General features: G+C 40.6%; 1 protein-coding gene across 1 annotated transcript in view, besides 3 other annotated features; it reads right to left on the minus strand.

The window, feature by feature from the left end:
• Positions 1-12,487, minus strand: part of GLIS3 (GLIS family zinc finger 3) — a 666,339-nt gene that overhangs the window by 633,703 nt on the left and 20,149 nt on the right. The gene's annotated exons all lie outside the window — the stretch shown is intronic.
• Positions 7,305-7,354: an enhancer, noted in NCBI's record as "active region_28143". NCBI's record gives its function as "activates an Ori minimal core promoter by ATAC-STARR-seq in GM12878 lymphoblastoid cells {active_cell/tissue: GM12878}" and the evidence as "EXISTENCE:reporter gene assay evidence [ECO:0000049][PMID:35858748]".
• Positions 7,365-7,414: an enhancer, noted in NCBI's record as "active region_28144". NCBI's record gives its function as "activates an Ori minimal core promoter by ATAC-STARR-seq in GM12878 lymphoblastoid cells {active_cell/tissue: GM12878}" and the evidence as "EXISTENCE:reporter gene assay evidence [ECO:0000049][PMID:35858748]".
• Positions 8,200-8,269: an enhancer, noted in NCBI's record as "active region_28145". NCBI's record gives its function as "activates an Ori minimal core promoter by ATAC-STARR-seq in GM12878 lymphoblastoid cells {active_cell/tissue: GM12878}" and the evidence as "EXISTENCE:reporter gene assay evidence [ECO:0000049][PMID:35858748]".

Here is a 12,487-nt window from a genome sequence, read left to right on the forward strand (position 1 = left end):
CAGAACGAGACTCCATCTCAAAAAAAAAAAAAAAAATTGCAGAAACTGCAGTATGATACTAGGTTAAAAATCCAAGACCTAAGTTCTGACCTTAAGTATAGCTCCTTCTATGTAGATGACCTTTGTGTACTTGTTAGGACCACGTTAGTTTCACAAACCCCACTCAAAGCTGTTCAACACAAAGCCCCATTAACTCCATGGAAGGACTGAACCACCAACCCACAGGATAGCAGGTATGCACCTGAGCACCAGGAAAAACTGGAGACTCAAGCTCAGCCAGAACTCATCTTCCCTACCTGATCTCTGCCCTCCTGTCATGCCAACTTTGTTCTCTCTTATTGCAGACTGTCTTGCTCTACTTGGGAGAAAACATGGCCTCCCACAGCTCTAGAAGGTTAAATTAATTTATTCACTCAATCAGCTATCGTTTTGGGGCCCAACTGCATGGCATGCATTGTTCTAGGCACTGGGGACACAGTAGTGACAAGGCAAAGGTCTCCCCTCAAGGAGCTCTTGTGGTGTGGAGAGAGTCAAATAATGAACAAATGTACAAATAACATGCCAGGTAGTGGTAATTGCTATGGAAAAAATAACCAGCATAAAGTTAGGGAGTTCCAAGTGATGATGATGGTGATGGTGGTGGAAGTAGAGTGTGTTACTTTATTAAAGGTGGCCAGGGGCCAGGTGCAGTGGCTCACTCCTGTAATCCCAGCACTTTGAGAGGCCAAGGCAGGCAGGTCATGAGGTTAGGAGCTCAAGACCAGCCTGGCCAACATAGTGAAATCCCATCTCTACTAAAATTACAAAAATTAGCTGGGCATGGTGGCGCACGTCTGTAGTCCCAGCTACTCGGGACTACTCGGGAGGCTGAGGCAGGAGAATTGCTTGAACCCGGGAGGCAGAGGTTGTGGTGAGATGAGATCGCACCACTGCACTCCAGCCTGGGCAACAGAGCGAGACTTGAGTATATCTGAACAAGTGAAAATGTCTGGGAGGAAGTAATAAGTATATTTGATGAAACAGCAAATACAAAGACTCTAAAGTGGGAAAGTGACATGTTCAAAGACAAGCAAGGGGACCACTGTGCTAGAGCAGAAGTGGGTGACAGGAAGAGTGATAAGAGGCAAGATCAGAAAGGTAGCGATGGCCTTACCACATGGATCCAAGATTGTCATTAGGATTTGGGCTTTTACTCTGGGATGGCAAGTCACTGGAAAATAATGAGATGAGAAGAAACATGATCTGATTTATGTTTTAGTAGAAACACTCTGGCTGCCATGTGTAGGGGGCAAGAGTGGAGACAGGGAGACTATTTAGGAGACCATTGAATAATCCTTGTAAGAGATGATGAAACTTGAACCAGGTGGTAAAGCTGATGAGAAGTGGCCATATACTGAATATATGTGAAGGTTGTCAGCATTATATGCTGAAGTACTGGATGTGGGAATATAAGAGAAAGATAAAAGCAAAGACAGCCCAAGGTAGATAGAGGATACAGGAGGTCTAAAGACTCAGCCCTGGGGCTATCCAATCTTTAGGGATTGGGAATCTGGGAACAAACCTGTAAAAGAGACTGAAAAGGAATAGCCAGTGAGGTACGAGGGAAAACGAGAGTGGTATCCCAGAAAGCAGATGCAGAAAGCAGAAGAGGCAGCCAAGAGCAATGGCTTGTGCCTGTAATCCTGGCACTTTGGGAGGCCAAGATGGGAGGATCACTTAAGCCCAGGAGCTCGTGACCAGACTGGGCAACACAGTGAGACCTCATCACTAGAAAAAATTTTAAAAATTAGCTAAGCATGGTGGTACACGCCTGTGGTCCCAGCTACTTGGGAGACTGAGGCAGAAGGGCTGCTTGAGCCCAGGAGGTCAAGTGAACCATGAGCCCAGGAGGTCAAGTGAGCCACTGCAGCCCATGGCTGCAGTCAGCCATGTTCACACCACTGCACTCTAGACTGGGCAACAGAGCAAGACCCTGTCTCAAAAAAGAAAAAAAGAAAAAGCGGGAGAAAAAGAAAGTGGAGGAGGAAGTGATTAACCATGCTAAATGCTGCTGAATGATGGAGAAAAATGAAGCCTGGGAACTGATCCCTAGATATCACCATGGTGGGGGAGAGGGAATGACACAGATGACCTTAATAAGAGCTGTTTCAGTAGAATAATAGAGGCACACTCTAAAAGTTTGTGCCGCTAAAGTGGTGCTGAATTGTCCATTCCAATCTTTAAAATCCTAGAGACAGATCTTGATTAACTTGGTTCAGGTCAGGTACCCATCAAGCAATTATGGCCATGAGGAAAGGCAATTTGGTGGCTCGGTGGTGGACCAGTCAACAGTGGGGAATCTCATGCTGTCATGGAAGACCATGGGCATTCTTGAAATATAAATGTGGATGGAGAAAGGGGGCAATTCCTAGGAAAAGAAAGATGACATCTGCATGGATCCCCTCCATTGGTTCTATCACTTAATCTTTAATTATAAAATGGGGTTGAAAGTTCCAGTTTCACAGAACTGATGTCAAAATCAGATTGAACAAGAAAATGTAGTGAATGAACTCTGCACATACTGTAACTTCTATACAAGCATAATGGGTTACCATTAGGTTGCCATAATGGAAGTCCACACCATATGGTGCTTCTCCAGCCACATTCCTGTGCGCCATGAAGATGTAGGTATATATACTCCAAGTTTAGCTTGATGTCCTGGCTAGTGCAGGAAAAACACAATTCCCCCCACCACCCCCCGAGTTTAAATATGAGGAGCTCTTAGAAAAATGTGCTGTTGACATCTCACTAAACAGAAGCAGAAGCCATCCCAAGAGGAGCTTAAAACAGTAGTAATGTAAGGCTCCAAAGAAAAATAAGAAATCATTGGCAAAGAGGGACAGAAAAGAAGCAAATAAAGGAGTTCTCTTTCCTTTTTTCTTCTACATGTCTGCATGCTGTGGGGATTTGTCCTTGTTCTTTCTTTCTAGTTCTGACAAAGTATTTCAAATCTGGAGTGTTTTTAATATAAAAAGAGACCTTGAAGAGCTTTAACGCCAAATGAGCCCAATTACTCCTTGGCTGTATGTTTGGTACTTAAGGAGGCTTATTAATTCTTTGATACTAAAATGAGTCCTATTTGAAGACAGATGGGAGAAAATTTTGTTCTCATCCATAGAGAATTAAGAATTTTTAAAGACTACTAAGACCAGTCTTACTTTTTTTCTGGGAGTTGGAGATGTTCTCTTATTTTACCAAATGAGGAATTCTCTAACAAGTCTCAGAGCATGAATATGTCACTCTTTTTCTGTGATACTCTCACCTTTTAAATGAACCATGCAAATCAAGAGAAAAGATGTTAAAGTTTTGAAACCTCAGGCACAAATTAAGTTTGTATCAGGTGGGACTACATTCTCATTTGTGTTTACTTCATGGGTATTTGTATGTCAGCCTTATATACTCCAGAAAGATGGATCAATGCCCATGATGGTTTTCTTTTTAATATGAATCATTTGTAATTCTTACACAGGGAATACATTTTTCAATTATGCACTTAAAGAACCAATTCTTCTCACAGAGCCTTAAAATCAGAGTAAAATGTTCTCATATTGGTATTAAAATTAGTAAAAGTAATTTTATCTTCCTTGTTTATGGGATAGATTTCTCACATTCTGAAATGCCTCTACTCTTTCCTCAACTCTCACTCAAATTTTCAAAACGATTACAACAGGTGTTACTAGGGTTTGGATTCTTTGCTACTCCTCCCTCCAAAATCCTTCCTCTGGGAGCTTGTTCTTCCTTGCCTCCTTGACTTCAGGCTTGGTCATGTGACTTGCTTTGGCCAATGAGATATGAAAGAAAATAATATGTACATTTTGGGGTAAAGCCTTAAGAACTATCACACGGCTACCATCTTCTCTTTTCCCTCACCCAATATCAGCAGCCATGTCCCAACTAGCATTACACCCTCAGCATAGGTCCTAAAATAAAGATCAAGTGGAGCTATATGATGGACATACAGCATGAACAAGAGATAAAAGTTTGTTGTCGTCAAGCTCTGCGATTTCAGAGATCCTTTGTTACTGCAGCAAAACTTAATCTGAGAATGAGAAAGGGCTTTGTAGATTGTTTTACATATTATGTTTATGTAATATAAATATTATAATAATTGGTAAAAACTATAAGATCTACAAATTTTCTGGTACAGTTCAAAGGAATGGGAATAGCAAGAAGAGTACACGAAGTGAGTTGGCATGTCTGTGTTACAGAACAATAATTCTCAGATTATTTTTGCCCATGGGCCACACCATTAGATTACGTCTACTCTAGGTCTATAAAAGGACTCCCCAGGGCTGCAGGAGTCTTGTCATTTTATAAGAAGGACTCTCAGAGCACACCTACAAGATCACTATTCAATGTATGATCTGTAAACTTTTTCACCATTCTGCAATAAGACAAGCCCAGAAATTAGGAATAAGTGTGTAGAAATTCTTATAGCAACTTGATATTGCCAGAATATCCAAGCTCAAGATTGGTGAAATTGTCTTGTTGAATGAGGTAAGAGACCAGTGGGGGTGTTTTCAGACTTGTACACTGAGTCACATGTGGCACAAACTGCATTCTAGGATTCTACCACAGATCAGAGAGTTAAAAAGAAGGAGATGGCCAGGAGCAGTAGTAGCTCATGCCTGTAATCCCAGCACTTTGGGAGGCAGAGGCAGGAGCATTGCTTGAAGCCAGGAGTTCAAGATCAGCCTGGGCAACATAGCGAGATTCCATCTCTATAACACACACACACACACACACACACACACACACACACACAGACACGCACACACACACACACACACACACATTAGCTGGGTGTGTTGTATGTCTGTAGTCCCAGCTACACAGGAGGCTGAGGAAGGAAGATTGCTTCAACCCAGAAGTTTGAGGCTGCAGTGAACCATGGCTGTGCCCCTGTGCTCCAATCTGAGCAACACAGCAAGATCTTGCCTCAAAAAAAGAAAAAAGAAGAAAAAGTCTGGTCCTTCATCCCAAATCGTTTGAAAAGCACTGGTCTTGAACCTGCTTGAAAGTCATCAATAGAAATATTGCACTTAAAGTGATGGGAAACCCAATATAGGACCTAAAGGACACAGGAACACTTTATGTAAAATTTAACCATTCTCTGGGGGAAATCCATGTCTGTACCAACAATCTTCCTGGCATTTTTCTGTCCCACTGGAGATTTACAAAGGCAGAGAGATAAGTAGCATTTCTTAGTTACTGACTGTATGCAGAATCAATACAGATAGTTCTCAGGTTACCAAATACTGTGTCACAGAACGCAGTGAATATGTTGGTTGTCACAAACACAGAATACATTTTTCCTTAGAAGCAATTTTACTAATGGTGGGGAAAGTCCTAGCCTATAAAAGTTGACTTTAAGAAGTAACTTAACTGTCATTTTCTATACTCACCTGACTTCTGGGTTTGTAAGAAAGGAATTAAGCTGATAGAGTAAGAAAAAGGGGAAAGAGAGAAAGCATTAAACTATTCTTAAACTTTTATTTGGGACTCTCTCACCTTCCTTTATTGTTTCTCTTCTATCTCTTCATGCTCTCTCACCCAACCCTCTCTCCTCTTATGCTCCCCCAGGCCCTGAAAATATGCTATTCATCAAAATTATTTCTTTCTGTTTCTTTTAATGTTGGCAATCTCAGGCATCAAGGAAATAACCAAGCCGATTAGATTAATTTATACTAAGGTGTGGGTAGCTGATGGCATCTTAATCCGCCTAGAGATATCTGCTGTTTTAGGAGAATACACTTATTTTAACCCGAATAAACCTCAAATGGGAAGTACAAGAAAGTGAAAAAAATATTGGGGAAAACAGATAAAAATGTTCCAGGTCAAAGATGCAGGATGCCTTTTGTCTGAGCTATTGTCTCCTAATTACTTCCTACTTTACACAGTTTTCTCCATTTTTCTGTTTCTTATATAAAATTTCCAAGTTTTTTCATGGTGACGTTCAGCACTAAGAGTGCAGGAGTGCAGGCAGTCATTGATAGAAAGCAGTCATTTGTACGTGTGGTATAGGTCAAGGACAGTTTCCATGAGTGAGAACTGAGTGAGAACTGAGGGAGGAAATACAAAAATACTTCGAAGAAAAAAAATTTGGAATGTCATAGATGCAAGTTGAAAGAAATCTTAGAGATGATGCAATCTAGTGGGTCCTAAAGTGTAGAACATGAGGAGCCTTTATGTGGTACACTGGCAAATCATTGAACAAAGTAGAATCACACAGGAAAAAATCACTCCCTTTTCATTTCTGTGTCAGGTTTTTTTTATTATATTAAGGAGAACAGCTCAGCTTATGTAGACTTTAAAACCTCTCTAACGTTGCTTATTTTAATAAAGAGAGCAGGCCTGGGGGTCAGAGTCTCCAACAGGCAATGGTCTCTTTGTAGCATTTAATAAAATTGTTTTAGTTTCACTGTTTTAATTTTTACCATGATTTTGACAAGCAGTATTGATTTCAATTTGTGATAGTAATATTTTCTTTTATTTATTTATTTTTTATAATTTTATTTTTTTAATTTTATTTATTTATTTTTTTGAGACAGAGTCTTGCTCTGTCACCCAGGCTGGAGTGCAGTGGCACAATCTCAGTTCACTGCAACCTCCACCTCCTGGGCTCAAGCGATTCTCCTGCTTCAGCCTCCCGAGCAGCTGGGATTACAAGTGCCCACCACAACACCAGCATAATTTTTGTATTTTTAGTAGAGGCGGGATTTCACCATGTTGGCCAGGCTGGTTTTGAACTCCTGACCTCAAGTGATCCACCTCCTTTGGCCTCCCAAAGTGCTGTGATTACAGGCATGAGCCACCATGCCTGGCCTGATATTTTCTTTGAAAAGGCATTAATTGAATAAAAAGAAAATAAGTTCAAAGAAAATCTTAGGCAAATAATATAAGTGGTATATAGAAGAAGAAAAAAATTGTAAAGGTTGTATGCAGAATATTGAAGCCAGGAAATGCTGATCTGAAGAGACTTCACATTTGAGTTTAAACCTGATGGAAAGACACATGTGAATATGAGAAGAAACCCCCCAAAATGGTATTAAGATAAAACACAAACCTGTCACTGGTAGCTAGTATAGTGTATTCCTCTAAGCAGACATATTTGCACAAGCTATAAATGGATGTGGCCAAGGGGTTAGCAATAACAAACTTCAGTGACACATTTCTTCAGAAACTCTGCTTTATATTTGCATACTTAACCTACAGCATTACCAGAATCAACATTTCCCTCTCTCTTCCTCTTACAAAATAGTCCTTGGGGACTGCCCATCAGTTACAGATGTTTCAGCACATTTTTCAGTTCATGACCAGAGAAAGGATAATCCTGTAAGAATGGAGGAAATTTACATATAACATTGCATACATTCTTAGTCTAAATAACGATAATAGGCCGGGCACGGTGGCTTATGCCTGTAATCCCGGCACTTTGGGAGGCCGAGGCAAGGGGATCACCAGAGGTCGGGAGTTCGAGACCAGCCTGGCCAACGTGGTGAAACCACATCTCTATTAAAAATACAAAAAATTAGCCATGCATGGTGACACGCAACTGTAGTCCCAGCTACTAGGGAGGCGGAGGCACAAGAATCTCTTGAACCCGGAAGACAGAGGCTGTAGTGAGCCAAGATCATGCCATTGCACTCCGGCCTGGGCGACAGAGTGAGACTCCGACTCAAAAAAATATAAAAAAGAAAAGATAATAAATAATAATTCTTGTAACTGGATTTATTTGTAAATCCAAGGATAAATGCTTGAGGGGATGGATACCCCATTCCCCATGATGTGCTTATTTCATATTGCATGCCTGTATCAAAACATCTTATGTATTCCACAAATATATACACCTACTATGCATCTACAAAAATTTTTTAAATTCAAAAAAATTTTCAAAAAAAATTATACCTCTTGGATTTCTGCCTCTGGCTCTAACTAAGTAACATGTGGTAGATTAGTGCTCCTGCTAAGAACAACTTGAAAAGCCAGAAAACATAATTTAAAAATCTATTTGAAAGCATTAAGTGCATTTGAAGTTGATAGAAAATTGCCAAGATTTGAGAGTAAAAGATCACAGAGATGAGACTACTTTAAAAATGTGGCCCACAAAACAGAAAAACAATACAGAAAATCAACGAATCCAAGAGCTGGTTCTTTGATAGAGGAAATGGTAAAATTCACAAACTTCTACCATACTGATTCAGAAAAATATGAAGAGAAGACACAAATTACCAATACCAAAAGTGAAAGAAAAGGCATCAGTGCAGATCTAAAGGACCTTAAAGATACAAGGGTATATAATGAACAACTTTATGCCAATAAATTTGACAACTTAGATGAAATAGACAATTCATTGTAAGACACAAATTACTGAAATTGACCTGAGAAGAAATAGAAAACTCGAACTGCCCAATACCAATAAAAGAAATTAAATTCATAGTTGACAGCTTTCCACAAAGAAACTCCAGGCCCAGATGGCTTCACTGATGAATTCTACCCAATATTTTAAGGTTATAATCCTACACACACTTTTTCAGAAAATAGAGAAGGAAGAAACATCAAATCATTTTATGAGGCCAGTATTACCCTTAATCCAAAACGAGACAAAGGCATCACAAGAAAGTAGGATAACAGAACATTAGCCCTCATAACATAGATATAAAATTTTTTTAAATGTTAGCAAATTTAATCTAACAATATATATAAAGGATAATACATCATAACCAATGGGATTTATACTGGAAATGCAGGTTGGTGTATCAGGCAAAACCCAATTAATAGAGAGAACTAGGTGGAGGTTCCAAGATGGCTGAATAGGAACAGCTCCAGAATACAGCTCCCAGCGTGAGCGACGCAGAAGATGGGTGATTTCTGCATTTCCAACTGAGGTACAGGGTTCATCTCACTAGGGCTTGTCAGACAGTGGGTGCAGCCCACGGAGTGTGAGCTGAAGCAGTGCAGGGCATCGCCTCATCCAGGAAGTGCAAGGGGGTCGGGGTATTCCCCTTCCTAGCCAAGGGAAGCCGTGACAGATGGTACCTGGAAAATTGGAACACTCCCATCCTAATACTGCGTTTTTCCAACAGTCTTAGCAAATGGCACACCAGAAGATTATATCCCGCACCTGGCTCGGCGGGTCCCATGCCCACGGTGCCTCACTCACTGCTAGCACAGCAGTTTGAGATTGAACTGCAAGGTGGCAGCGAGGCTGGGGGAGGGGCATCTGCCATTGCTGACGCTTGAGCAGGTAAACAAAGTGGACAGGAAGCTCAAAATGGGTGGAGCCCACCACAGCTCAAGGAGGCCTGCCTGCCTCTGTAGACTCCACCTCTGGGGGCAGGGAATAGCTGAACAAAAGGTAGCAAAAACTTCTACAGACTTAAACGTCCCTGTCTGACAGCTTTGAAGAGAGTGGTGGTTCTCCCAGCATGGAGTTTGAGATCTGAGAACGGACAGACTGCCTCCTCAAGTGGGTCCCTGAGCCCGAGTAGTATAACTAGGAGACACCTCCCAGTAGGTGGCCACTGATACCTCATATGGCCACAGGACCCTCGGAGATGAAGCTTCTAGAGGAAAGATCAGGCAACAACATTTGCCATTCTGCAATATTTGCTGTTCCGCAGCCTCCGCTGGTGATACCCAGGCAAACAGCGTCTGCAGTGGACCTCCAGCAAACTCCAAAGGATCTGCAGCTGAGGGACCTGACTGTTAGAAGGAAAACTAACAAACAGAAAGGACATCCACACCAAAACCCCATCTGTACATCACCATCATCAAAGAACAAAGGTAGATAAAACCACAAAGATGGGGAGAAACCAAAACAGAAAAGCTGAAAATTCTAAAAATCAGAGGGCCTCTTCACCCCCAAAGGAAGACAGCTCCTCGCCATCAATGGAACAAAGCTGGATGGAGAACGACTCTGACGAGTTGAGAGAAGAAGGTTTCCGATGATCGGTAATAACAAACTTCTCCGAGCTAAAGGAGGATGATCAAACCCATCACAAAGAAGCTAAAAACCTTGAAAAAAGATTAGACGAATGGCTAACTAGAATAAACAGCATAGAGAAGACCTTAAATGACCTGATGGAGCTGAAATTCATGGCATGAGAACTACGTGACACAGGCACAAGGTTCAGTAGTCGATTCAATCAAGTGGAAGAAAGGTTATCAGTGATTGAAGATCAAATTAATGAAATGAAGTGAGAAGAGAAGTTTAGAGAAAAAAGGGAAAAAAGAAATGAACAAAGCCTCCAAGAAATATGGGACTATGTGAAAAGACCAAATATCTGATTGGTGTACCTGAAAGTGACGGGCAGAGTGGAACCAAGTTGGAAAACACTCTGCAGGATATTATCCAGGAGAATTTCCCCAACCTAGCAAGGCTGACCAACTTTCAAATTCAGGAAATACAGAGAATGCCACAAAGATACTCCTTGAGAAGAGCAACTCCAAGACACATAATTGTCAGATTCACCAAGGTTAAAATGAAGGAAAAAATGTTAAGGGCAGCCAGAGAGTAAGGTTGGGTTACCCAAAAAGGGAAGTCCATCAGACTAACAGCAGATCTCTTGGCAGAAACTCTACAAGCCAGAAGAGAGTGGGGGCCAATATTCAACATTCTTAAAGAAAAGAATTTTCAACCCAGAATTTCATATCCAGCCAAACTAAACTTCGTAAGTGAAGGAGAAATAAAATACTTTACAGAAAAGCAAATGCTGAGAGATTCTGTCACCACCAGGCCTGCCTTACAAGAGCTCCTGAAGGAAGCACTAAACGTGGAAAGGAACAACTGGTACCAGCCACTGCAAAAAACATGCCAATTTGTAAAGACCACTAATGCTAGGAAGAAACTGCATCAAATAATGAGCAAAATAACCAGCTAACATCATAATGACAGGATCAAATTCACACATAACAATATTAACCTTAAATGTAAATGGGCTAAATGCTCCAATTAAAAGACACAGACTGGCAAATTGGATAAAGAGTCAAGACCCATCAGTGTGCTGTATTCAGGAGACTCATCTCACCTGCAGAGACACATATAGGCTCAAAATAAAGGGATGGAGGAAGATCTACCAAGCAAATGGAAAGCAAAAAACGCAGGATTTGCAATCCTAGTCTCTGATAAAATAGACTCTAAACCAACAAAGATCAAAAGAGACAAAAAAGGCCATTACATAATGGTAAAGGGATCAATTCAACAAGAAGAGCTAACTATCCTAAATATATATGCACCCAATATGGGAGCACCCAGATTCATTAAGCAAGTCCTTAGAGACCTAGAAAGAGACTTAGACTCCTACACAATAATAATGGGAGACTTTAACACCCCACTGTCAACATTAGACAGATCAATGAGACAGAAAGTTAACAAGGATATCCAGGAATTGAACTCAGCTCTGCACCAAGCAGACCTAATAGACATCTACAGAACCCTCCACCCCAAATCAACAGAATATACATTCTTTTGAGCACCACACAATACCTATTCCAAAACTGACCACATAGTTGGAAGTAAAGCACTCCTCAGCAAATGTAAAAGAACAGAAATTATAACAAACTGTCTCTCAGACCACAGTGCAATCAAACTAGAACTAAGGATTGAGAAACTCACTCAAAACCGCTCAACTACATGGAAACTGAACAACATGCTACTGAATGACTACTGGGTACAAAACGAAATGAAGGCAGAAATAAAGATGTTCTTTGAAACCAAACATAACAAAGACACAACATACCAGAATCTCTGAGACACATTTAAAGCAGTGTTAGAGGGAAATTTATAGCACTAAATGCCCACAAGAGAAAGCAGGAAAGATCTAAAATCGACAACCTAACATCACAATTAAAAGAACTAGAGAGGCAAGACCAAACACATTCAAAAGCTAGCAGAAAGCAAGAAATAACTAAGATCAGAGCAGAATTGAAGGAGATAGAGACACAAAATCCCTTCAAAAAATCAATGAATCTAGGAGCTGTTTTTTTGAGAAGATCAACAAAATTGATAGACCACTAGCAAGACTAACAAAGAAAAGAGAGAAAAATCAAATAGAGGCTATAGAAAATGATAAAGGGGATATCACCACTGATCCCACAGAAACACAAACTACCATCAGAGAACAGAAAATCTAGAAGAAATGGATAAATTCCTGGACACATACACCCTGCCAAGACTAAAACAGAAAGAAGTTAAATCTCTGAATAGACCAATAACAGGCTCTGAAATTGAGGCAATAATTAATAACCCACCAACCAAAAACAGTCCAGGACCAGACGGATTCACAGCCGAATTCTACCAGAGGTACAAAGAGGAGCTGGTACCATTACTTCTGAAACTATTCCAATCAATAGAAAAAGAGGGAATCCTCCCTAACTCATTTTATGAGGCCAGCATCATCCTGATTGCAAACCCTGGCAGAGACAAAAAAAAGAAAGATAATTTTAG

Source organism: Homo sapiens, chromosome 9 (assembly GCF_000001405.40).
Source record: "Homo sapiens chromosome 9, GRCh38.p14 Primary Assembly".
Lineage (NCBI taxonomy): Eukaryota > Metazoa > Chordata > Mammalia > Primates > Hominidae > Homo > Homo sapiens.